General features: G+C 46.7%; 1 annotated feature.

Moving 5' to 3' along the window:
* Window positions 13,883-14,057: a silencer, noted in NCBI's record as "fragment chr7:4704492-4704666 (GRCh37/hg19 assembly coordinates)". NCBI's record gives its function as "represses an EF-1alpha promoter that drives an FKBP-Casp9 reporter gene in an ReSE screen in HepG2 liver carcinoma cells {active_cell/tissue: HepG2}" and the evidence as "EXISTENCE:reporter gene assay evidence [ECO:0000049][PMID:32094911]".

The following is a 26,732-nucleotide window of genomic DNA, read 5'->3' as shown; positions in this document are numbered from 1 at the left end:
GGGAAGAAGGGCTGAGGTGGGTCCTATAGGATCTGGGGCTGATCCTAGAGCAATGGGAAGCCACTGAGGGGCTTTACGTGCAAGACAGCAGGCACACCGACATGCAGTATCTGAAATGCAATCACTCTAGCGGCCATGGGGATCCTGAACTGGAAATAGGTCAGAGTGATGGCGGAGGTTGCTCAGGAAGCTGGAGACCAGCGAGAGAGGTGAAAGGAGAGAGGTGCAGAGAAGCAGAGGGATGCAGGAGATACTGATTTCCTGCAAAGGCATTTACACACACTGTTGGTGGGAATGGAACACAGGGCAGCCTCTGTGGGAAACAGCATGCAGGGTCCTCAAAAAGTTAAAACGAGGCCGGGCCCAGTGGCTCTCACCTGTAATCCCAGCACTTTGAGAGGCTCAGATGGGTGATCACCTGAGGTTAGGAGTTTCAGACCAGCCTGGCCAACACGGTGAAACCCTGTCACTACCAAAAATACAAAAAAATGAGCCAGGCGTGGTGGTGGGCACCTGTCCCAGCCGCTCGGGAGGCTAAGGCATGAGGATTGCTTGAACCTGGAAGGCAGAGGTTGCAGTGATCTGAGATCATGCCATTGCGCTCCAGTCTGGGTGACAGAGCGAAGCTCTGTCTCAATAAATAAACGAATAAATAAATAAATAAACAAACTAGAGTTCCCATAAGATGCAATGCAGACTTCCACTTCTGGGTTTATACCCCCAAAGAATTGCAAGCAGGGTCTTGAAGAGATACTTGCATGCTATGTTCACAGCAGCGTTATTTATTCACGAGATCCAGAAGGTGGAAGCAATCCAAGTGTGCGTTTACCCCTGTGGTACCACATACAGTGGGGTATGATTCAGACTTGAAAAGGAAGGAAACTCTGACATACGTGACATGTGAAGTGATGAGCTTTGAGGACATTATGCTCAGTGAAATAAGCTGGTCACAGAAAGACAAATGTGATGTGATTCCACTTCTATGGGGTCCCTTGGTCAGTAAGATTCATAGAGACAGAGGGTAGAATGCTGGGTGCCGAGGACTGGGAGAGGGGAGACCGGGAGTTACTGTGGAATAAGGACAGAGTTTCTGTTGGGCAAGATGAGAACATTGTGGAGGTGGCTGATGGTGTTGATTGCACAGCACTGGGAATGTGCTTCATGCCACTGATCTGTGCACTTGAAAATGGTTCCGACGGCCGGGCGCGGTGGCGCATGCCTGTAATCCCAGCACTTTGAGAGGCCGAGGCAGGCAGATCACTTGAGCTCAAGAGTTTGAGACTAGCCTGACCAACATGGTGAAACCCCATCCCTACTAAAATACAAAAATTAGCTGGGCGTGGTGGTGTGCGCCTGTAATCTCAGCTACTCAGGAGGCTGAGGCAGGAGAATCACTTGAACCCAGGAAGCAGAGGTTTTAGTAAGCCAAGATTGCGCCACTGCACTCCGGCCTTGGAGACAGAGTGAGACTCGGTCTCAAAAAAAAAAAAATACGGTTAAGACGTTAAATGTTATGTTATGTGTATTTTACCACAATTGTAAAGAGAGAGATTTACATACAACCTCCTCATACGGTCTCTTCCTTTGGACTCCTTGAGATGACTTCTGACTTCTTAATGACAGATTTATTTAATGACAAGAGGCATGTATGTACTTCCAGGCACCATAGGCCTAACAATATTAAATGTAAATAATTGTAGGCTGGGCGTGGTGGCTCACGCCTGTAATCCCAGCACTTTGAGAGGCTGAGGCGGGAGGATCACCTGAGGTCAGAAATTTGAGACCAGCCTGGCCAACATGGTGAAACCGCGTCTCTACTAAAATATAAAAATTAGTCGGGCATGGTGGTTGGCACCTGTAATCTCAGCTACTCAGGAGGCTGAGGCAGGAGAATCACTTGAACCTAGGAAGCAGAGGTTGTAGTGAGCTGAGATTGCGCCACTGCACTCCAGCCTAGGCGACACAGCCAGACTCCATCTCAAAAAAAAAAAAAATTGTAGACTAGGCGAGGCGGCCCATGCCTGTAATCCCAGCACTTTGGGAGGCCGAGGTGGATAGATCATTTGAAGTCGGGAGTTTGACACCAGCCTGAGCAACACAGTGAAACCCTGTCTCTACAAAAAATACAAAAAATTAGCCAGGTGTGGTGGCGCATGGCTGTAATCCCAGCTACTTACGGGACAGAGGCTGGAGGATCACTTGAGCTCCGGAGGTCGAGGCTGCGGTGAGCAAGATCGCCATACCACTGCACTCCGGCCTGGGGGACAGAATGAGACCCTGTCTCAAAAAAAAAAAAGAAAAAAGAAAAGAAAAGAAAGAGGCTGGGCATGGTGGCTCAGGCCTGTAATCCCAGCACTTTGGGAGGGTGAGGGGGGACAGATCACGAGGTCAGGAGATCAAGACCAGCCTGACCAACATGGTGAAACCCTGTCTCTACTAAAATACAAAAAAATTAGCCAGGCATGGTGCCGTGCACCTGTAGTCCTAGCTACTTGGGAGGCTGAGGCAGGAGAATCGCTTGAACCGGGGAGGCAGAGGTTGCAGTGAGGTGAGATCGCGCCACTGCACTCCAGCCTGGCGACAGAGCAAGACTCCGTCTCAAAAAAAGAAAGGAAGAAAGAAAGAATTGTGCACAAACTGACAAACCTAGATGATGTTTTCCCCAAGGAGCAAAACACTGTACAATAATACTGCAAGGAGTTCACGAGGCCAACTCCCTGTGACCTTGGCAAGTCCAGGCATGGGTTTAATCATTTGCCATTCCTTTTTCCTTACGCAGTCAGTCATTGGATATATTGGTAGCTTCCACAGGGAAGGTTTAAAAAGGACCAGTAAAAAGGCATTGACCAACCAAGATGTTAGAAACTGAATTCTTCTCTCACTCTCTCCAGGTCCAGAGGGCATGTGAAAGCTGTCTCACAAAGCATGTGCTCAAAAAAAGAAGCATAGCTGGCCAGGTGGCTCACACCAGTACTTTGGGAGGCTGAGGCAGGAGGATTGTTTGAGTCCGTGAGTTGGAGACCAGCCTGGGCAACATAGCGAGACCCCCCCATCTCTACAAAAAAATACAAAAATTGGCCAAGCATGGTGGTGCACACCTGTAGTCCTAGCTACTCAAGAGGCTGAGCCTGGGAGGTCAAGGCTGCAGTGAGCTATGATCACACCACTGCACTCCAGCCTGGGTGACAGAATGAGATTCTGTCTCAAAACAAAAACAAAACAAAAAAAGAAAAGTAAAAAGGTTGCAGCCTGGCGTGGTGGCTCACGCCTGTAATCCCAGCACTTTGGGAGGCTGAGGAGGGTGGATTACCTGAGGTCAGAAGTTTGAGACCAGCCTAGCCAACATGGTGAGACCCCATCTCTACTAAAATACAAAATTAGTCAGGCGTGGTGGCATGCGCCTGTAATCCCAGCTACTCAGGAGGCAAGGCTGGAGAATCACTTGAACCCAGGAAGTGGAGGTTGCAGTGAACTGAGATTGTGCCATTGCACTTCAGCCTGGGTGACAGAGTAAGACTCCATTAAAAAAAAAAAAACTTGCAAAGGAAGAGTGAGTTAACCTTTTCAGGCTCCACCATACCCAGGCTCTTACCTTAGCAGAAGCCTGTGAAGCTGGTAGCAGAAACGAGAAGGAACGAAATTAACTCCAAGGCAGTAAGCCATCCACAAGACCACTACACGAAGTTAAGGCTGTGTGAAAGAGGGAGTTTATTTAATTTTATTGTTAAAGAGGCAATAAAATATCTAGAGAAACAGTCCATTAAAAAATTGGCAAATCCAGCCTGGCCAACATAGTGAAACCCCATCTCTACAACAATACAAAAATTAGCTGGGTGTGGTGGCGCATGCCTGTAGTCCCAGCTCCTCAGGGGACTGAGGCGGGGGGATTGCTTGAGCCTGGGAGGTCGAGGCTTCAGTGAGCCATGATTGTGCCACTGTACTCCAGCCTGAGCAATAAGAGCGAGACCCTGCCTCTAAAAATACATTAATTAATTTAAAAATTAGGCAAAAGATGTGAACAGATACTTCTCCAAAGAAGGTATATGGGACCAGGCACGGTGGCTCATGCCTGCATTCTGGGAGGCTGAGATGGGCGGATCACCTGAGATCGGGAGTTTGACACCAGCCTAGCCGACATGGTGAAACCCCATCTCTACTAAAAATACACACACACACACACAAATTAGCTGGGCATGGTGGCAGGCCCCTGTAGTCCCAGCTACTCAGGAGGCTGAGGCAGGAGAATCGCTGGAACCCGGGAGGCGGAGGTTGTGGTGAGCCGAGATCGTGCCACTGCACTCCAGCCTGGGCAACAGAACAAGACTCTGTCTCAAAAAAAAAAAAAAAAAAAAAAAGTATGGGTGACAAGCAAGCATATGAAAAGATGATCAATGTTATTATTAGGGAGCAACTTAAAACCACAACGAGCTATCACTACACACCTATTCACATTCCTTAGAAAACAAAACTGACAATAGCAACTGTTGGTGAGAATGTGGAGCAACTGGAACTCTCTTATGTTGCCAATGGCATGCAAAATGGTACAGCTAGAAGGGTGTGGGGGCTTGTGCCTGTCATCCCAGCACTTTGGGAGGCTGAGGCAGGAGGATTGCTTGAGGCCAGGAGTTTGACACCAGCCTGGGCTACACAGTGAGACCCCCATCCCTACAAAAAATGAAAAATTATCAGAATGTGGTGGAACATGCCTGTAGTCCCAGCAATGTGGGAGACCGAGGCAGGAGGACCCCTTGAGCCCAGGAGGTAGAAGCTGTAATGAGCTATATCTTGCCACTGTACGCCCGCCTGGGGAACACAGCAAGACCCTGCCTGAAAATAAATAAATAAATATTTTTCGAAAGATTAAAAAAAAATGTTACAGCAGCTTTGAAAAACAGCTTGGCAGTTTCTTATAATGTTAAGCTACACTTACCACAGGATCCCCCAATCTCATTCCTAGCTGTTTACCCAAGTGAACTGAAAACTTCATGTTGACACAAAAACTTGTACAAAAATGTAATAGTGGATTTATTCTTTTTCTTTTCTTTTTTTTTTTTCTTCTGAGACAAAGTCTCGCTGTCACCCAGGCTGGAGTGCAGTGGCGCGATCTCAGCTCACTGCAGGCTCCGCCCCCCAGGGTTCACGCCATTCTCCTGCCTCAGCCTCCCCAGTAGCTGGGACTACAGGCGCCCGCCACCTCGTCCAGCTACTTTTTTGTATTTTTAGTAGAGACGGGGTTTCACCGTGTTAGCCAGGATGGTCTCGATCTCCTGACCTCGTGATCCGCCTGCCTCGGCCTCCCAAAGTGCTGGGATTACAGGTGTGAGCCACCACGCCCAGCCACTTTCCTTTTTCTTGAGACAGGTTCTCACTCTGTCACCCAGGCTGGAGTGCAGTAGCATGATCATAGCTCACTGGAGCTTCGACCTCCCAGGCCCAAGCAATCCTCCCACCTCAGTCTCCTGAGTAGCTGAGACCACAGGCACATGCCACCATGCCCAGCTACTTTCTTTTTCTTTTTTTTTTCCGAGATGGAGTCTGAGTGATCTCACCTTACTGCAACCTCTGCCTCCCAGGTTCAAGCAATTCTCCCGCCTCAGCCTCCCACGTAGCTGGTATTACAGCCACTCACCATCATGCCCAGCTAATTTTTGTATTTTTAGTAGAGACGGGGTTTCAACATGTTGGCCAGGCTGGTCTCAAACTCCTGGCCTCAAATAATCTGCCCGCCTTGGCCTTCCAAAGTTCTGGGATTACAGGCTTGAGCCACCGCACCCAGCTGCAGCTAGTTTTAAAAACATTTGTTTTTTGTAGAGACAGGGTCTCACTATGTTGTCTAGGCTGGTCTTGAACTCCTGGGCTCAAGCAATCCTCTCACCTCGGCATCCCAAAGTACTGAGATTACACTCAGTGAATCGCAGTGCCTGGCCAATTTAAAAGCTTGTTGTTGTTGTTTGTTATTGTTGTTGTTGTTGTTTGAGACGCAGTCTTGCTCTGCTGCCCAGGCTGGAGTGCAGTGGTGGGATCTTGGCTCACTGCAACCTCCACCTCCTGGGTTCAAGTGATTCTCCTGCCTCAGCTTCTCGAGTAGCTGGGATTACAGGCGCCCGCCACCATGCCTGGCTAATTTTTGTATTTTTAGTAGAGACGGGGTTTCACCATGTTGGCCAGGCTGGTCTCGAACTCCTGACTTCAGGTGATCCACCCGCCTTGACCTCCCAAAGTGCTGGGATTACAGGCGTGAGCCACCGTGCCCTGTCAAAAGTTGTTATAAATCTTTAGAGAGACTGTGTTTATAAACCCAAAGCAAGGCCTAAGAGCTATGCCATGCAATTCAGAAGCCAGTAGCCATATACGACTACCTAAACTTATACTCTAATTAAAACTAGATAAAGTTAAACATTCCGCCCCTCCCTGGCAGGCACCACATTTCAAGTGCTTAGTAGACCCTTGTGGCTTCTCTTTGCTCTCTCATGGAGTCCTAGTTGCAAGGGAAGCCACGCTGTGAGGATGCTTAAGCAGCTCAGTAGAGAGGCCACATGACCTCCTGCCAATAACAGCACCAGGTGTATAAGGGGCCACCTTGGAAGCAGAGCCTCTAGGCTCAGGTGGCTAATGGCTACCGTATTGATCAGTGCAGAGGAAGAACACTTCCATCACTGCAGAAAGTTCTGTTGGACGGTGCTGCTCTAGAAAATGAGGTATAGCTGGGCTATTCCTCCACCTTGTCTTTCCTTTTTCTTCCAAAATCTAGGAATCACACCATGCACCATGTGCTGGGCACACAGTAGCTGTACAAGACCCACGAAGAAGCAATGATGGGGTCATTCTTCTGCCTTAAGCCCAAAGGGTCCTTGGTTTGACCATTGCTCCCAGGTGGACATATGCAAGGCAGCAGAATACAGCCCCATCACAAGAAAGGGTCTTTATGGAATTCCCTGAACCCCAGCGCTGGCTGAGTCTGAAAGCAGGCTGATGAAGCAAAGCAGAAGTCTCAGAATCTGAAATCTTTGAAGACCTGGAGCTCAGTAGCTATTTGGCGAATGATCGGGGAACTTGGACCATTCTTCTGTCTTCTCATCCTCTTCCTTTTCCTGTCCACTGAATGTCACCTCCTACGGCTTCTGTATCCTCCGAGGATCCTTCCTGTGTCCCCAGTCTTGCTTTCTGCCTGTTCACTGAGTCTCTAGAATTTCTCATCACACAGTGATGAAAACTCTGACCATTCCTGAAAAGTACTGCACTTTGCTATCATTGCAAAAGCAAGGAGACCAAAAGTGTGTGTGTGTGCATGTGTGCGTGTGTGTGTGTGCATGCATGTGTGCACACGTGTATGTGTGTATGTGCAGGCATGTGTGTGCCTGTGTGTAAGGCACAGAATTATCTCCTGTGGAAACACTTCCTTACCCATTCGAAACCATAGCCTAAAAATCTAAGAGAGATGAACCCTGTTTCCTCAGCTTGCTTCCAACAGGCGAACTTGCTTTTCTTTCACAGCCACCCTGTCATTTAGAACTCATACATATTTCTTAAACACCAATTCAGGAAAATATACATCTGACTCTGACACCACAGGAAACATGTTCAAACCAAAGCATGGGGAAAAATATTCCCGATGAAATATACTGGCGTTGGGACTTGGAAAAAAGATAGAAGTGTTGTATGTTACTCATTTATTGCTTCATGGCAAACGACTCCTCACCTAGTGGCTTTAAATGGTAAACATTTATCATCTCACAGTTTCTGTGGCTCAGAAGAAAAAATTTGGGAATAACTCAGCTGGGTGGGTCTGGCTCAGGGGTCTCTTGTAAGGTTGCATCAAGATGTTAGCTGGAGCTGAAATTTACCTGAGCCTGGAGGCTCCACTTCTGAGGCGGCCCCTTATACACCTGGGAAGTTGGTGCTGTTATTGGCGGGAGGTCATGTGACCTGTCCACTGGGCTGCTTGAGCATCCTCACAACATGGCTTCCCTTGCAGCAAGGACTTCGTGAAAGAGCAAAGAGAAGCCACAGGGTCTTTTATGATCTGGCCCCGGAAGTCTAGTTCTGCCTAGTGTTTACACAAGTCAGCCTAATTCAGTATGGGAGGGGACTACACAGGGGTGTGGATACCAGCAGGGGAGTTAATGAGGGCAGTTGATGTTCCATACATTTATTCAACAGCCATACAAAATACTAGTGATAACAATGGAAGCAATTTGAGTCAGTCCATCCCTAACCTGGATGGAGAAGTTAAGCAAAGCAGACTGAGATGCTTGCATCACTATCTTAAATCAAAGCAGCATGATGGTGCCATGGGAGGGGTGTAAATTTTGGAGGCAGCTTCATGATTAACAAGCTGTGTGACCTCAGACAAGTTATTGGCCTCTCTGGGCTTCAGTTTCCCTTACTATAAAATGAGGACTAAAATGGATGATGTTGGCTGGGTGCAGTGGCTCATGCTTGTAATCCCAGCACTTTGGGAGGCTGTGGCAGGGGGATTGTTTGAACCCAGGAGTTTGAGACCATCGTGGGCAACATAAGGAGATCTCGTCTCTACAAATAATTTTAAAAATTGGCCAGGTGTGGTGGTGTGTGCCTGTGGGCCCAGGTACTCTGGAGGCTAAGGCAGGAGGATCAGTTGAGCCCAGGCAGTCGAGGCTGCCATGAGTTGTGACAGCACCAGTACACTCCAGCCTGGATGACAGAGACAAATGCTGTATCAGAGAGAGGGGAGAGAGGGGCGGGGGGGAGGGAGAGAGAGAGAGAGAATGTCAGTGAGGGTGTGAGACACTTAGAAACTCACTCATGTTACCTCAAGACATGCAGCTTATTTGGCAAGAATGGATTTGGAGACAAGAAAAGCAAGAATCATCGTAGCCCAAACACCAGATTCACAGAAGCTCCCAAAAGCTGCTCAACTGGGAACCCTAGGACTGGACTGAGTTTGAGGACTGGACGTCCATCGGGATCCAGAGTTGCTCCGATGTCCACATCTCTGCCCTGTCTGGGGGCAGGGGATGATGATAATAATGATGATGGCAGACACGCGTATATCAAGCAGGTGCTGTGTACCAAGGCACGGCTCAGAGCATTTTGCAAGCATTCATCATTTCATCCTCACAACACCGTTATGAGGTTATAGCTATTACCCCGGTTTTATAAATGAGGACAATAAGGCATATTCAAGATTAATAATTGGTTAGTCTCTGGTACGCCCCCAGTCCATCCAGCCAGCTCTGGTAAGATAGTTTTCCTTGAGGGCAGGCCTTGGAAAGAATAGCAGAGCGCTCTGGTGTATTTCAAAATGTCTGTGTTCCGCTTCCCTCTGCTGAAGCATGAGGGTTTGGCTTTGTTTTTCTCTGATCTTTACTGTGAAAATCTGGTAGGGCTTCAAGAGAAAAACACAAAAGTATGAGAGCCCTCTAGGGCTGGGTCCCCTTGGAGATTTTAACACTCAGACTTGTCCATCCGGAGCCTCCAGGAATTCATTCGTTACTGCTTACGTTTTCCTACCCTGCTACTGGTTCCCATGGAATTTTTTTTTGTTTTTTTCCAGACAGAGTCTTGGTCTGTCACACAAGCTGGAGTGCAGTGGCGAGATCTCGGCTCACTGCAACCTCCCGCTCCCAGGTTCAAGCGATTCTCCTGCCTCAGCCTCCCAAGCAGCTGAGATTAGAGGCACCCGCCTCCACACTCGGCCAATATATATATAGATATATATCTATATATCTATATATATATTTTGAGATGGAGTCTCACTCTGTCACCCAGGCTGGAGTGCAGTGGCGCGATCTTGGCTCACTGCAACCTCCGCCTTCCGGGTTCAAGCGATTCTCCTGCCTCAGCCTCCCAAGTAGATGTACTACAGGCATGCACCACCACGTCCAGCTAATTTTTGTATTTTTAGTAGAGACGGGGGTTTCACCATGTTGGTCAGGCTGGTCTTGAACTCTTGACCTTGTCATCCGCCTGCCTCAGCCTCCCAAAATGCTGGAATTACAGGCGTGCGCCACCCCACCTGGCCTAATTTTTGTATTTTTAGTAGAGACGGAGTTTCCCCGTGTTAGCCAGGCTGGTCTTGAACTCCTGACCACAAATAATCCACCCATCCACCCACCTTGGCCTCCCAAAATGCTGGGATTATAGGCGTGAGCCACTACGCCCAGCTGAAATTTTTTTTTTTTTTTTGAGACAGGGTCTTGCTCTGTCGCCCAGGTTGTAGTGCAGTGGTGCAATGATAACTCACTGCAGCCTCCACCTCCTGGGCCCAAATGATCCTCCCATCTCAGCCTCCTGAGTAGCTGGGACCACAGGCTCACTCCACCATGCCCTGCTCATGGCTTGTGTAAGTCTTAATGTCCAAGGGGTTCTGGGAGTGTAGCTGTATCAGCCCAAGACAGGCCAGGAAAAGAAACACAAAGAATAGCTGACGATCCGCAGAGGCTCTGCCATGGGGTGCTGTGGTTTTGAGCCACAGAAACCAACCCCAGCCAACTTAAACAAAAAGGGAATGTATTAGCCTGTAGTTCACATAACAGAAGAATGCCAAGATTCAGGCTTCAGAAAAGACAGGAGTCAGGGCTGCTGTGGGATTCAGCAACAAAAACCCAACGCTGGTGTCTCAGGATGCCCCACGGGGATCAATCCGCTCTGAGCTCTTCCCTTCTTGCATCATTCTATACGAGACTGGAATCTGGAATCCCCGAGGGACCCCAAGCAGCGATCGGCTTAGCAGAGGTTCTGTGCCCAGGCCTGGGCTAAGGGTGGACCAGTGTCTATTACCTTGAGGGGCAGACTCTGGAAGGCTGCATGAGAAGGGCTGGCCGCTCCTTAAAGCAAAGCCTGACTCCTGTTAGCAGAAGGGGCAATGAATGCTGAGCAGGCGAAAACTAGATGTTCACTGCCTCATTCCAGCCAGATGTCGTCAGTGACCTGTGCTCCCGAGCTTCATTTTTGTTTTTTAAAAGACTCTTTAGTTTATCTTTATTTATTTATTTTAGAGATGGGGTCCCACTCTCTCACCCAGGCTGGAGCACAGTGCTGCGATCATAGCTCACTGCAGCCTTGAACTCCTGGGTGCTAGTGGTCCTCCTGACTACAGGCACGTGCCACCAGGCCCGCTAATTTGTTTTGTTTTGTTTCGTTTTTTGAGACGGCGTTTCACTCTGTTGCCCAGGCTGGAGTGCAGTGGCACGAACTCGGCTCACTGCAACCTCTGCCTGCTGAGTTCAAGTGATTCTCCTGCCTCAGCCTCCCTAGTAGCTGGAATTATAGGCATGCACCACCATGCCCGGCTAATTTTTGTATTTTTAGTAGAGACGAGGTTTTGCCATGTTGGCCAGGCTGGTCTTGAACTCCTGACCTCAGGTGACCTGCCTGCCTCGGCCTTCCCAAAGTGCTGGGATTAACAGGCGTAAGCCACCGTGCCTGGCCTAATTTTTGTATTTTTTGTAGAGATAGGGCGTCTCCCTATGTTGCCCAGGCTGGTCTCGAACCTCTGGCCTCAAGCAATCAATCCTTCCTTGGCCTCCCCAAATGGTGAGATTATAGGTGTGAGCCACCATGTCTGGCAGTTTGTCTTTTAAAACTTTTTTTTTTTTTTTTTTCTTTTTGAGACAGAGTCTTACTCTGTTGCCCAGGCTGGAGTGCAGTGGTGCAATCTCTGCTCACTGCAACCTCTGCCTCTCTACAAAAAATAAAAAAATTAAGCTGGGTGTGGTGGCTTATGCCTATAATCCCAGAACTTTGAGAGGCTAGTGTAGGGGGCGGATCACCTGAAGTTAGGAGTTCGAGACCTTCCTGGCCAACATGGTGAAACCCTGTTTCTACTAAAAATACAAAAATCGGCAGGGGGTGATATCAAGTGCCTATAATCTCAGCTCCTGGGGAGGCTGAGGCAGGAGAATGGCTTGAACCTGGGAGGCGGAGGCTGCAGTGAGCCAGGATTGTGCCACTGCACTCCAGCCTGGGGAACAGAGTGAGACTCCAGCTCAAAATAAATAAATAAATAAAATTTAAAAAAATTAGTTGGGTCTGGTGGTGTGTGCCTGTAGTCCCAGCTACTTGGGAGGCTGAGGTGGGAGGATCAGTGGAGCCCTGGAGTTCAAGGCTGCAGTGAGTTATGATCGCACCACTGCACTCTAGCCTGGGTGGAGACCCTGTCTCACCAAAAAAAAAAAAAAAAAAAAAAAGAAAAAAGGAAAGAAAAAAAGGATACCTCCATCATCCTAAAAATTTTCTTCAATTGAAGTCAATCCTCACTCCAGCATCTGCTTTCTCCTTGACTATTTCTACTTTTTTTTTTTGAGATGGAATCTCACTCTGTCCCCAGGGTAGAGTGCAATGGCTGGATCTCAGCTCACTGCAACCGCCATCTTCCAGGTTCAAGCCATTCTCCAGCCTCCCGAGTAGCTGAGATTACAGGCGCCCACCGTCACGCCCAGCAAATTTTGGTAGAATTGGTAGAAATTTTGGTAAATTGGTAGAAAAGTAGAAATGGGCCAGGCTCATGCCTGTAATCCCAGCACTTCAGGTGTCTCATGCCTGTAATCACAGCACTTCAGGAGGCCGAGATAGGTGGATTGCTTGAGGTCAGGAGTTCAGGACTAGCCTGACCAACATGGTGAAACCCCATCTCTACTAAAAATACAAAAATTAGCTGGGTGTAGTAGCACATGCCTGTAATCCCAGCTACTCAGGAGGCTGAGGCAGGAGAATTGCTTGAACCTGGGACGCGGAGGTTGCAGTGAGCTGAGATCATGCCATTGCACTCCAGCCTGGGCAACAGAGTGAGAATCTGTCTCAAAAAAAATTTTTTTTTAAATAGTAAAAAATAAAAAAAAAAGAATAAATCCACGACTCGATGGACACATGGATTGCTTCCAGTTTTTGGCCCTATGAATAATGCAGTTGCTATGAACATTCATAGACTAGTCTTTGACGTGTGTTTTCATTTCTCTCCAGTTAGATTCCTAGGGATGGAATTGCTGGGTTACATACTAAGTATATGTTTACCTTTTGAAGAAATTACCAGACTGCTTTCCCAAGCGGCTGTGGAATTTGACATTCCCAAGAACAATGTATGAGGGTTCTTGTAATTGCTTTTAGTCTAGGCTTCCCTGTCCATTTCCTTTTCTTCCCCTTTCAAGAAACTGGGTCATTTGCTCATTAGAGTTTCCCACAGTCTGACTTTTGCTGATTGCATCATGGTGGTTAAGTTCATCTGAACTCAAATTTTAAAAAATGGATTTCTGACTGCTTACTCAGATATATACATACAACAATATAAAAGTAGATCAGTAAATGAGAAAACAGAAAAACAGAGAAATACTGATCAAAAACGTAAGACTAAGCCATGCATATAGTGAGTACACAAAATACAAACCGTAAAGTTTAATGTAGTTGGGAGAGACGGATTCCAGTTTTGGTTCTGAGCTAACTAGCAGCCCAAACAAGGAAGGATACATGCTCACTTATGAGGTTAACTCTCCGTAAGATAAAAACAAGCTGATTGCTAAGTGGAAGCTACTTTTTTTTCCTGGCAGAGACCAAATAAAAATTTGTTTTTCCTTTTTTAATTTTAATTAGTTAATTAATTAATTTTTTTTTTGAGGTAGAAGTCTCGCTCTGTTGCCTAGGCTGGAGTACAGTGGAGCGATCTCGGCTCACCGCAACTTCCACCTCCCAGGTTCAAGTGATTCTCCTGCATCAGCCTTTCGAGTAGCTGGGATTACAGGCACGCACCACCACGCCCGGCTAATTTTTGTATTTTTACTACAGACGGGGTTTCACTATGTTGGCCAGGCTGGTCTCAAACTCCTGACTTTGTGATCCACCTGACTTGGCCTCCCAGAGTGCTGGGATTACAGGCATGAGCCACCTCACCTGACCTAATTTAATTTTTAATAATAGAGGCAGGGTCTTGCTATGTTGCCCATGCTGGTCTTGAACTCCTTGGCTCAAGCAATTTTCCCCTCTGAACCTGCCAAAGTGCTGGGATTACAGGGATGAGCCACCGTGCCTGGCCAAAAGAAAAATTTGAATCATTATTCCTGCTTCTTTATTGAGGATGTGGGAGGAACTCATGGGAAAGACACCCCCATTGGTGACCAGACCAATGCACAGTGATGTTTGTTGAGAGACTTCAGCAGTGGAAATGGCAGTTGGTTTCTTTGGGATCTGATGAAAGAACCTAAAAAGTCGGGCTTCCGATTCCACGTCAAAGAAGGCAATTTTATTTATTGTATTTTATTTATTTTTTGAGATGGAGTCTTGCTCTGTCACCCAGGCTGGAGTGCAGTGGCACGATCTTGGCTCACTGCAACCCCTGCCTCCTGGATTCAAGAGATTCTCCTGCCTCAGCCTCCCAAGTAGCTGGGATTACAGGCACCCACCTCCACACTTGGCCAATTTTTGTATTTTTAGTAGAGACAAAGTTTCACCATGTTGGCCAGGCTGGTCTCGAACTGCTAACCTTAAGGGATCCACCCGCCTCGGCCTCCCAAAGTGCTGGGATTACAGGCGTGAGCCACTGCACCTGGCTACAGTGGCATATTATTTGGCAATTAACAGGATTGAAGTTCTGATGCATGCTACAGTATGAATGAACCTTGAAAATATTATGCTAAGTGAAGTAAGCCAATCACAAAGGACCACCTAGTGTGTGGTTCCATTTATGTGAAATGTCCAGAACAGGCAAATCCATAGAGACAGCAGATTAGTGGTTTCTTAGGGCTGGCTGGGATGGGGATGTGGGAGACGAAGGTGATAACTAAAGAGCGAGGAATTTCCTTTTGGTATAATGAAAACGTTGTAAGGCTAGGCATGGTGGCTCACGCCTGTAATCCAGCACTTTACGGGGCTGAGGCGGGCAGATTGCTTGAGTCGAGGAGTTCGAGACCAGCCCGGGTGACATGGCGAGACCCTCATCTCTAGAAAAATTAGCCGAGCCTGGTGGTGCTCACCTGTAGTCCTATTTACTTGGGACGCTGAAGCAGGAGGATCGCTTCAGCCCAGGAGGCGGAGGTTGCAGTGAGCCATGATCATACCGCCGCACTCCAGCTTGGGCGACAGAGTGAGACTCTGTCTCAACAACAACAAAAAAGAAAATGTTCTAAAATAAACTGTGTTGATGGATGCGCAGATCTGTGAATATACCAAAAGCCAATGCATTGTATATTTAAAATGGGTGATTTACATGATATGCGCATGTTGTCTCAGCTGTTAAAAGTTAGCAAAAATTTTGTAGGAACTAAATTCAGTGAAGCATAAGTTAAACCAACTTATTGGAATCATCTTTCTAGGTAAAGTCTGATTCATATGTTTTTTTTTTCCCCCACAAATCTCACAAAATTTCACAGAATTAAAACGTTTTGGTTTCCATTTTAAGTGGATTCATGGTAAGCAGCTTTTTAATGTAGATCGTAAGGTCCTGCCGTTTGTCACATCCTCTTACCCTGAAGTGACAAATAGCCACGTGTTTGAGAGGTGTGAGAACAGTGATAAGGAAGTCAGACCCTTCTCCAAAGAAACCAGTTTCCACGCATGGTGGCTCACACCTGTAATCCCAGCACTTTGGGCGGCCGAAGCCATAGGATTGCTTGAGGCCAGGAGTTCAAGATCAGCCTGGGCAACATAGGGAGAGCTCCGTCTCTTTTGTTTTGTTTTGTTTTTGGAGACAGAGTCTCACTCTGTTGCCCAGGCTGAAGTGCAGTGGTGTGATCTCGGCTCACTGCAACCTCTGCCTCCCGGGTTCAAATGACTCTTGTGCCTCAGCCTCCTGAGTAGCTGGGATTACAGGTGCATGCCACCCCTCCCAGCTAATTTTTGTATTTTTAGTAGAGATGGGGTTTTGCCATGTTGGCCAGACTGTTCTCATACCCCTGACCTCAAGTGATTCGCCTGCCTTGGCCTCCCAAAGTGCTGGGATACAGGTGTGAGCCACCGCGCCCGGCCAGACCCCTGAGTTTTAACTGTAGCTCCAACACTTACTAACTGCAAACCCTGGTCAAGTCACTTCATCTCCACGCGTGCCTCAGTTTCCCCACTTTATGTGAATCTGCAGTCTAACTGGGAGTTATATGTGTAAAAACTTGGTGCAGTGCTGTGAATATAAGCACAGTCTCAATGTATGCAGCTTATAATTAGGTTGAACCAGATACAACTGCCATTCAAATATGGTCAAATGTGAGGGCCGGGCATGGTGGCTCACACCTGTAATCTCAGCACTTTGGGAGGTTGAGGCGAGTGGATCACCTGAAGTCAGGAGATGGAGACCAGACAGGCCAACGTGGTGAAACCTTGTCTCTACTAAAATTACAAAAAAAATTAGCCGGGTATGGTGGCGGGCACCTGTAATCCCAGCTACTCGGTAGGCTGAGGCAGGAGAATCGCTTGAACTGGGAGGTGGAGGTTGCAGTGGGCCGAGATGGAACCACTGCACTCCAGCCTGGGCAACAGAGCGAGACTCCATCTCAAAAAAAAAAAAAAAAAAAAAAAAGGTCACATGTGGTTAATTGTCATTACTTTCATATGGCTCAACCTAAAATTATAATCAAAGCTGAAGTAAAAAAAAAACCAAGTGTGGGAGTTTAATTACAAATCTTCAGAGCTCTGAACAGGAAAGAAGGAATTACATGGAGACAAGGAGAGACAATGAAATTGGACATTAGTGAATTACATGCAAGATGTAGGAACTGCTTGTTTCTCATGCTACTCTAAATATATATATTCACATGTTCACTGTTTTGAAGTGAGAGGAAAGGAAAGAGGAAACGTAGCTTCCAACATCTATGAGGAAATTCGTATCCTAGAGAAGGAAATGGAATTTGAGAAGCCCTGGCTTCCAGCCCGTTGTTCGGCCGTTTATAAAAATTGTGGCTGTACTAAACATACACGGTGCTGTGGTGACTGAAAGCAGATGAGATGCAGCCTATTTTGTGTGTACCTTGCAGATATGCAGCCTCCAATGATGATGTGTTATGGGGAGGTCACAAAATATACGTGAAATCTACAAGGCCGAGCAGCCCTTGGCTGATACCTATTGATCATATTTTTCCCTCTGCAGTTTATCGTATTCATGATTCAAAGGAACAAACCAAGCTGGCCAAGAGAGTCTTCCAAAGTTAGTAAAAAAGATTCAATCTGTGAGACATAAGTTTGCCTCCCTCTTTTTATGTATATTAATGCCATACTGCCGAAGCACCTGGCTGTTGAAATGAAAGTGAGCCAGCATATGGATTTAACAGATTTGGAATCCTCCCAAACAAGCATTTTCTTACCAAGTCAATAAGAGTAAATGCAGGTACCAAAGGGAACCTAGAATAAAGACATCTAGGATAAAACAATACTTAATGCTTGAGAAAAAAAAACCAGATAAACACCAAATAAAAAAAGAGTACAGGACACAGGATTCTTGAACCCATCACAAAACTAAAACAATTTTTAAAAATTGCAATGGGGTCTTGCTATGTTTTCCAGGCTGGTCTTGTTTTGTTTTTTAAATTGAGATGGGGTCTTGCTACGTTGTCCAGGCTGGTCTCAAACTCCTGAGCTCAAGTGATCTGCCCACCGTGGCCTCTCAAAATGATGGGATTACAGGTGTGAGCCACCATGCCCAGCCAAAACTAAAATCTGCGCTAAAGTGTGTGTGTGTGTGTGTGTGTGTGTGTGTGTGTGTGTGTGTGTGTGAGACAGAGTCTCACTCTGTTACCCAGGATGGAGTTCAGTGACACGATCTCGGCTCACCGCAACCTTTGCCTCCTGGGCTCAAGCAAGTGGGACTACAGGCACATTCCACCATGCTCTGCCAATTTTTGTATTGGTTTTAGAGGCAGAGTTTTGCCATGTTGCCCAGGCTGGTCTCAAACTCCTGAGCTCAAGCAATCTACCCACCCCGGCCTCCCAAAATGCTGGGATTACAGGCGCAAGCCACCGCCCCCGGCCCAAAACTAAAATCTTACAACCAAAATTCCCACTAAGAAAGAGCCAAACATGACTGCAAACACAGAAATAAAAATAGTGCATATGTAAAATAGCCATGGTTCTATTTGGTGACCATTTTCACCCAGTAACTGGCCAAGACATGGTGGGAAGGTTTCCTGCATAAACCTCTCACCTTTGGAATATAATTAGTCATTGAAGATTGAAAATGCTAACATATGGAAATGGTTTTATTTCTTGGGTGCCAGAAATGAGTTTGAAAGAGAGAAACAGGCAGTGTATCCTATGGGGGCCACCAGCAGAAGACCTGGCTTCTTGTCACATCTCTAATGATAGCCATGTGATCTCAGGCAATGTTGCGGGGTGGTTAATGATTGCTATCTGGAGTTAAAGGGCAGGACCACCAGCTGCCTTTCCAATATCCATTCTGCCCTTCCTTCTAATTAACAGGACTCTGTTTTTGACTGGGGTGATAATGAGCCCTGCTAAAAACCTACATCTACGTATCCCAGCCTTCCTTGAAGCCAGAGGTGAGCAAAGTGACCATAGAAATAGCTACAGTCAATGTGTTTAAGCAGAAGTCACAGAGTTTAGGGTGACCAACTCATCCCTGTTTGCCCAGACTTTCTTGGTTTCAGCCACAAAAGTCCTGCATCCTGGGGAACTCTTCAGTCCTGCACAATCAGGGACAACTGGTCATCCCAGCGGAAAGCTCTTTGAAAGGGGCATATGTGGCTCTCAAACACCATTTCCCTCTCTTACTGCATGGGATGTCGGCTTAATGCTGGAGGTGACTATGAAGCAACAAGCATGAACTCAAGAGCCACCAAGTTATTTTAACAGAAAGAACTTGATCTAAAGAACCATTAGCTAGGTATAAAATTGTGACCTCTGTAACTGACACAGTAAAAACAGAATTCTAAATGTATCTTGGAGGTAGCAACTGGATGAAGTAGCTATTACCTGGTAGGGATGAGTGGAGGGAAGGCACCATGTGAAGAGGTTGGAATTATTGAAATTTAGGAACTTAGGGAAGCTGAAACTCTGATTTCTGAAGAGTGGGCTGGCAGGTGCTGGTGATGGTGAAGGGTCACAATGAGGCTATTTTTGTGAAGTGTTGGAAAAATGGCAGGCAGGATTTAGCTGCTGCTGCCAAAGGAAATGATGGTGCAAGGGTGAAGAAGTTTTGCTGGGAACCTTAAAAAGGGGCAGGAAACAGGTGGAGACCCAAAGGGGAGAAACAGGAAGGAGGAAATTCTTCCTTCCTGTTCCAGCCTTGAAGTCTTTCTCTGGCGCCACCTATGGCAAGAGCCTGAGAAGGAGCCTGCTGGGTAAAGGGAAAAGGGTGCTGAAGATCCCAGCCCCAACATCACAAAGCCTATTCCCAAAAGGGTCACAACTTAATAACTGGCATGTGTTCTCTCCCTTTTCCCTGAGAGGAAAATGCTATGCCAATGACTTTGATTATCGTTTCCTTGCCTTTCCTTAGACTTTTAGCACACACGCATGCAACCCTAAATAATGTGGTTTGATTTGAGCTCTTTTTATTTTTATTTATTATTATTTTGAGACATGTTCTCACTCTGTTGCCCAGGCTGGAGTGCAGTGGCACAATCTTGGCTCACTGCAACCTCCGTCTTTCAGGTTCAAGTGATTCTCCTGCCTCAGCCTCCTGAGTAGCTGGGATTACAGGCACGTGCCACCACGCCCAGCTAATTTTTGTATTTTTAGTAGAGACAGGGTTTCACCATGTTGGTCAGGGCTGATCTCGAACTCCTGACCTCGTGATCCACCCGCCTCGGCCTCCCAAAGTGCTGGGATTACAGGCGTGAGCTACTGCCCCCAGCCAGCTCTTTTTGTTTTTATGATTGGGTTCCTATTGTGTATGGTCTTTTATCTTTGGGCTTTGGGAATTGTTTGGAGATGCATCTATATTTTGATCCTAGCTACAGTCCATTCATTTCCAATGCTTTGCAGTACTCCATTACAGAAATATCCCATTCTTCAAGGGTCCCCAATCCCCACGCCCCGGACCGGGAATCAGGCCACACAGCAGGAGGTAAGAGGCAGACTAGCAAGTGAAGCTTCATCTGTATTTACAGCTGCTCCCCCTCACTCACATTACTACCTGAGCTCCGCCTCCTGTCAGATCAGCGGCAGTATCAGATTCTCATAGGAGGGTGAACCCTATTGCAAACTGCACATTCGAGAGATCCAGGTTGCACAACTCCTCATGAGAATCTAATGCCTGATGATCTCCCATCACCCCCAGATGGGACTGTCTCGTTGCAGGAAAACAAGTGCCTACTGATTCTGCATTATGATGAGTTGTATAATTATTTCATTCTATATTACAGTGTAATAATAATAGAAGTAAGGTGCACAATAAATGGAATGTGCTTGAATCATCCCAAAACCATCCCCCCCACTCTGGTCTGTGGAAAAATTGTCTTCCATGAAACTGGTCCCTGGTACCAAAAAGGTTGGGGACCACTGCCATACTTTATTCATTCAACTGGTGTTGGACATTTTCAGTTGTTACTCCATTAGCAGGTCTTGTGTGTATATCTGGGTGGTGTGCATGTTTCTCAAAGTGTGATCCTCACACCAGCAGCATCAGCATCACCTAGGAACTTGTCAGAAATACACATTCTCAGGTCCCACCCCTGATCCACTGATTCAAACTCTGGGAGGGGAGCTTAAAGTCTTCCATGAGATTCTGATGCAGGCTAAGGTTTGAGAATGATTGTTCTAGGTTTTGAGTCTAGAAGCAGATTTGCTGAGTCATAGGATATGCAAAGTTCAAATGTTTTAGGTAATGCCAAACTATTTTCCAAAGCGATTGCACCAATCTACACTCCCACCTGTAGTGTCTAAGAGTTCCCATTGCTTTACATCTTTGTTATCACTTGGCTTTAAAATTTCTGCCAGCCTAAAGAGTATAAATGTATCTCACTACTGTTTTAATAGGCACTTGAATGACGTCTAATGAGATTGAGTGCCTTTTCAAATGTTTATTGGCCATTTGGACTGCCCCCCTTTGTGAATACAAGGAACTTCAATGGACTACAAAAGTCAATCATCAAGAAAGCATATGGGAGAAAAGGAATATTAGAGCACTGTTCCCGTTTCTGTTACATCTCATTTAAGAAATGATATTTCTATTTTGTGAAGTGCCTATTCCAGTCTTTTGCCCATTTTCTAATAGGGTCATCTGTTTTGTCCTTATTGGTTTGAAGTTCTTTGAACAGTAGGAAAATTACTGGTCCTGGTTGGCTATATGTGTTGCAGGTATCTCCTACTACTCTCGGTGACTGGTCTTTTGATTTTCATTTTCTTTTTGTGGCTGTACATTGATGAACATCTTCTTAATTTTAATTCAGTCAAATATATCACTATTTTCCTTTGAGATTAATGTTTTTAATAACTTGTTTAATGGCTGGGCATGGTGGCTCATGCCTGTAATCTCAAAACTTTGGGAGACCGAGGCAAGAGGATCACTTGAGCCCAGGAGTTTGAGACCAAACTGGGCAACATAGTGGGACCCCATCTCTTAAAAAAATGAAAAAAATTAGCCGGGCTTGGTGGCACCCACCTGTAGCCTCAGCTACTCAGGGAGGCTGAGTTAGGAGGATTGCTTGAGCCTGAGAGATTGAGGCTCACTGCAACCTCTACCTCCCGGGCTCAAGCAATGCTCCCACCTCTGCCTCCCAAGTAGCTGGTATTACAGGTGTGCACCACCACACCTGGCTAATTTTTTTTGGATTTTTTTGGTAGAGATGGGGGTTTTGCCATGTTGCCCAGGCTGGTCTTGAACTCCTGGGCTCAAGCAATCTACCCACCTCAGCCTCTCAAAGTGCTGGGATTACAAGCATGAGCCCAAATTCTCTCTCTCTCTTTTTTTTTTTTTGAGACGGAGTCTTGCTCTGTCGCCAGGCTGGAGTGCAGTGGCGTGATCTCGGCTCACTGCAACTTCTGTCTCCCAGGGTCAAGCGATCCTCCTGCCTCAGCCTCCTGAGTAGCTGGGATTACAGGTGCACGCCACCACATCCAGCTAATTTTTTGTGTTTTTGGTAGAGACAGGGTTTCACCATATTGGCCAGGATGGTATCAATCTCTTGACCTCATGATCTGCCTGCCTCGGCCTCCCAAAGTGCTGGGGTTATAGGCGTGAGCCACTGTGCCCGGCCAAGGATTCCATTTCTTTCTGCCATTCATCCCCTCTATCCTGGTACGTTGGCTCTGATTATTTCAAGATGGCTGCAGGGACTGCAGGCCTTCCATCCACAATGCAGGATCCAGATACCATTTTTGCTTTATTCATCTCTTTTTAGGAACAAACACCCTTTTTTTCAGGTGCTCCTCTCCCCTAGCATGTTTCCCCTAGTCTCACTTGCCACAGTGACATCATGTGTCCATGCTTGGACCCAATTCCTGGAGAGGTGTCTGGGATCACCTTGCTTTTCTTGGCTCTGCCATGATTCTCTCTTAGGAACTGGGGTTCATCTCCCCTGAAGCTGATGGAAAATGAGTATCTGGACAAAATCTGGGTTCTCTGGATAGGAAAAGGGGGAAGGGACGGATAGGTAGGCAACCAAAAGGTATGTGCTGCAGCAGGACAGAGACAGAACTCTGGGGACCAGCAGTATGCGAGGGACAGATAGAAGGAGAGATTTGCACACCTGCAAGTTGAAGCAAAAACAGGGAACCATGAATCTTGAAGGTGTTATTCTTTCCAGTACATTTGTTCAATGTAATGTTTTGGGAAATTGCCAATGGTACCAATGTCCACTTGGTAATTGAGAAGGCCAGGTAGTTTCACTGTGGCCCTGTCCTGAAATCATTTCACAGCAGATTGCTCTGCAGCTCAGCCCTGCTGAAGGGGACCAGTGAGAAAAAGGCCTCATTAGAAATGACTGTTACCAAGCAACAAGCTAGCATCTCAAGAATTGCATACAAGGAACTTAAATGGACTACAAAAGTCAATCGTCAGAAAAAGGTAGCATCTGGGAGAAAAGGATATTAGAGCGTTGTTCCCGTTTCTGTTACATCTCGTTTAAAAAATGATATTTCTCTCAATTAGAACTGCAGCATGCATTCATTGTAGGGAATTAGGAAATATATACATAAAAGAAACAAATCTTATGCCTAACCTTACAGCTGGCTATTTTCAGCTTTTCTTCCTTTTTTTTTCTTTCACTTTATGTGGTATTTCCCCATGTTCTTAAAAATTCTTAGTTGACAGAATTAATTTTTTTTTTTTAATAGACAAGGGCTCGCTCTGTCACCTTGTCTGGCAGGATCATGGCTCACTTGCAGCCTCAATTTTGTGGGCTCAAGTGATCCTCTGGCCTCAGCCTCCTGAGGAATTGGGACACAGGTGTGCATCACCATGCCTGGTTAATTTTTTTATTCTTTGTAGGGACAGGGCCTTGCTATCTTGCCCAGACTTGTTTCAAACTCCTGGCCTCAAATGATCCTCCTGCCTTGGGCCCCACACCCCCACCCCCCTGCAAAGTGTTGGGATTACAGGTGTGAGTCACTGCACCGGGCCAACATCATTTTAAATAACTGTATAGTACATGCATTAATCAAGTACTCTGCAAAACACTACAAATTTGTGCTTTGGGAGGAATACCGAAGGGGAAAAAGAGAACAAAGCCTCCCAAAGTGCTGGGATTGCAGGTGTGAGCCACTGTACCCAGCCCTCAGCTGATCTGTAAAAAAATGCCAGTAAAGATTGGAAAGTTTCATATTTTGCTTTATGGTCTGCAGCACAAATCAATGAACAGGATCTTACAAAAAAAAAAAAATTCACATAGGCCGGGTGCGATGGCTCACGCCTGTAATCCCAGCACTTTGGGAGGCCGAGGCAGGCGGATCACCTGAGGTTGGGAGTTCGAGACCAGCCTGACCAACATGGAGAAACCCCTCTCTACTAAAAATACCAAATTAGCCGGGCATGATGGTGGGTGCCTGTAATCCCAGCTACTCGGGAGGCTGAGGTGGGAGAATGGCTTGAACCCAGAAGGCGGAGGTTGCGGTGAGCCGAGATCGCACCCTTGCACTCCAGTCTGGGCGACAAGAACAAAACTCCGCCTCAAAAAAAAAAGAAAAAAAGAAAAAAAAAAAAACTCAGAGATGTTTCTCTTGCTCCATCCTCAACACAGGCTTTTGTTTTCCCCAGAGTGAAGGAGACATTAGAAGAATGCTAAACCTTTGCCTCACTATTCTTATTTGTTGAACTTTGAAGTTAGGCAAAGGTTTAGCATTTTTCTAATGTCTTCTTCACTCTGGGGAAAACAAAAGCCTGTGTGGAGGATGGAGCAAGAGAAACATCTCTGAATTTTTTTTTTTTTGAGACGGGGTTTTGCTCTTGTCGCCCAGGCTGGAGTGCAATGGCGCGATCTCAGCTCACAGCAACCTCCGCTTCCCGGGTTCAAGCGATTCTCCTGCCTCAGCCTCCCAAGTAGCTGGGATTACAGGCATGCGCCACCACGCCTGGCTAATTTTGTATTTTTAGTAGAGATGGGGTTTCTCCACGTTGGTCAGACTGGTCTCGAACTCCCGACCTCAGGTGATCCACCTGCCTCGGCCTCCCAAAGTGCTGGGATTACAGGCGTGAGCCACCGCGCCCGGCATATCTGAATTTTTTTTTTTTGTAAAATCCTGTGCATTGATTTGTGCTGCAAACCATAAAGCAAAATATGAAATTTTCCAATCATTACTGGCATTAAAAAAAAATCAGCTGAGGGCTGGGTACAGTGGCTCACACCTGCAATCCCAGCATTTTGGAAGTCCAAGGCTGGAGGATCAATTGAGGCCAGGAGTTTGGGACCAGCCTGTGAAACATAGTGAGACTCCATCTCTACAAAAAAATAAAAAACTTAGCCGAGCATGGTGGTATGCACCTGTGGTCTGAGCTACTTGGGAAGCTGAGGTGGGAGGATTGCTTGAGGCCAGGAGTTCCAGGTTGCAGTGAGCTATGATCGTGCTGCCACACTCCAGCCTGGACAAAAGAGCGAGACTCTGTCTAAAACAAACAAAAACAAACCAGAAAGATCAGCTGAGAGTTCTTTGAATTCTTCCTGACAAATAACAGCGTAGACCCACAGGTGTACTGTAAATTTTTCACTTTTGTAGGTCTAATCCTTAGGCAGCACCGTAAAGGCATTACTATAATCATCTCTCTAATTAGAGTGTCTTTTTTTTTTTTTTTTTTAGTTAAAAAAAAAATCTCACAATAGTAGAAGTGGTTTTGACAACCATGGTAAGATTTCCCTCTGTGATCTGATCACAGCACATGGCGGGCTAGACTATCCATGCACCTGTGATGGTTAATTTCATGTATTAACTTGTCTGAGCTAAGGGCTACTCAGGTAACTAGTAAAACATTATTTCTGGGTGTGTCTGTGAGGGTGTTTTCAGGAGTGATTAGCATTTGAATCAGTAGGTCTGATTAAAGAAGACCCCTCCTCTGCAGGCGCGGTGGCTCACGCCTGTAATCCCAGCACTTTGGGAGGCCGAGGTGGGCGGATCACGAGGTCAAGAGATCGAGACCATCCTGGCCAACATGGTAAAACCCCGTCTCTACTGAAAATTTGAAAATTAGCTGGGTGTGGTGGCACACGCCTGTAGTCCCAGCTACTCGGGAGGCTGAGGCAGGAGAATCGCTTGATCCCGGGACGCAGAGGTTGTGGTGAGCCGAGATGGCTCCACTGCACTACAGCATGGTGACAGAGTGAGACTCAGTCTCAAAAACAAAAAAAAAAAAAAAAAAAAAGAAGATCCGTCCTCACCAGTGTGGATGTGGATGGGCATCGTTCAATTCCTTGAGGGCCCAGATAGAGCAAACAGGTGGAGCAACAGCAAACTTGGCACTCTCTGGGCAGAGACATCCACCTTTGCTGGCCCTTGGACATTGGTGCTCCTGGTTCTCAGGCCTTCTGACTCAGACTGGGATTTGCACCACTGCTTTCCTGGGCCACCACCTTGCAGATGGCCGACTGCAGGTCTTCACGACCTCCATGATCATGGGAGCCAATCTCGCATGATAAATCCTTTTCTCGCTGGGCACTGTGGCTCACGCCTTGTAATTCCAGCACTTTTGGGAGGCTGAGGGGGGAGGATCTCTTGAGCGAGGGAGTTTGAGGCCAGCCTGGGGCAACATAGCAAGACCACCATCTCTACAAAAAAATAAAAAAAAAAATTAGCCAGGCATGGTGGTGCACACCTGTAGTCCCAGCTGCTAAGGGGGCTGAGGTAGGAGGATTGCTTGAGCCCAGGAGTTTGAGGCTGCTGTGAGCTGTGATTGCACCACTGCCCTCCAGCCTGGGCAACAGAGTGATCCCGTCTCTAAAAATAAGTAAATAAATGAAAATACAAAGGAAATTTGGACATAGAAACAGATACGCATATAGGGAAGATGACATGAAAAGACAGGGAGAAGATGGCCTTGTAAAGGTAAAGGATGGAAGGATCCAAGGATTGAAGAAATGATGCATCTGTGGGCCAAGAAACGCCCATGGCTGCCAGGAGCTGGGACAGAGGCCTGAAACAGATTCCTCCCAAGGGCCGTGAGGGGAATCGTGGCCCTGCTAACACCGTGATTTCAGAATTCAGGCCTGCAGAACCGTGAGAGAACAAACATCTGTTGTTTCAAGCCAAAAATGAAACAAAAGCAGAAGAACACAGAATGAGAAGTAAAGGAAGGGAGGAAAGGAATGAGCAGGAGGGAGGGAAGGAGACAGCAAAGTGTCATCAAGTAAGTTATGAAAGAAAACTTGGTTGCAGCTGGGTGTGGTGGCTCACGC

This window comes from Homo sapiens, chromosome 7, assembly GCF_000001405.40.
Source record: "Homo sapiens chromosome 7, GRCh38.p14 Primary Assembly".
NCBI lineage: Eukaryota > Metazoa > Chordata > Mammalia > Primates > Hominidae > Homo > Homo sapiens.
Note: the sequence above shows the minus strand (reverse complement) of the source record. Positions and strands in the feature narration are given on the sequence as shown.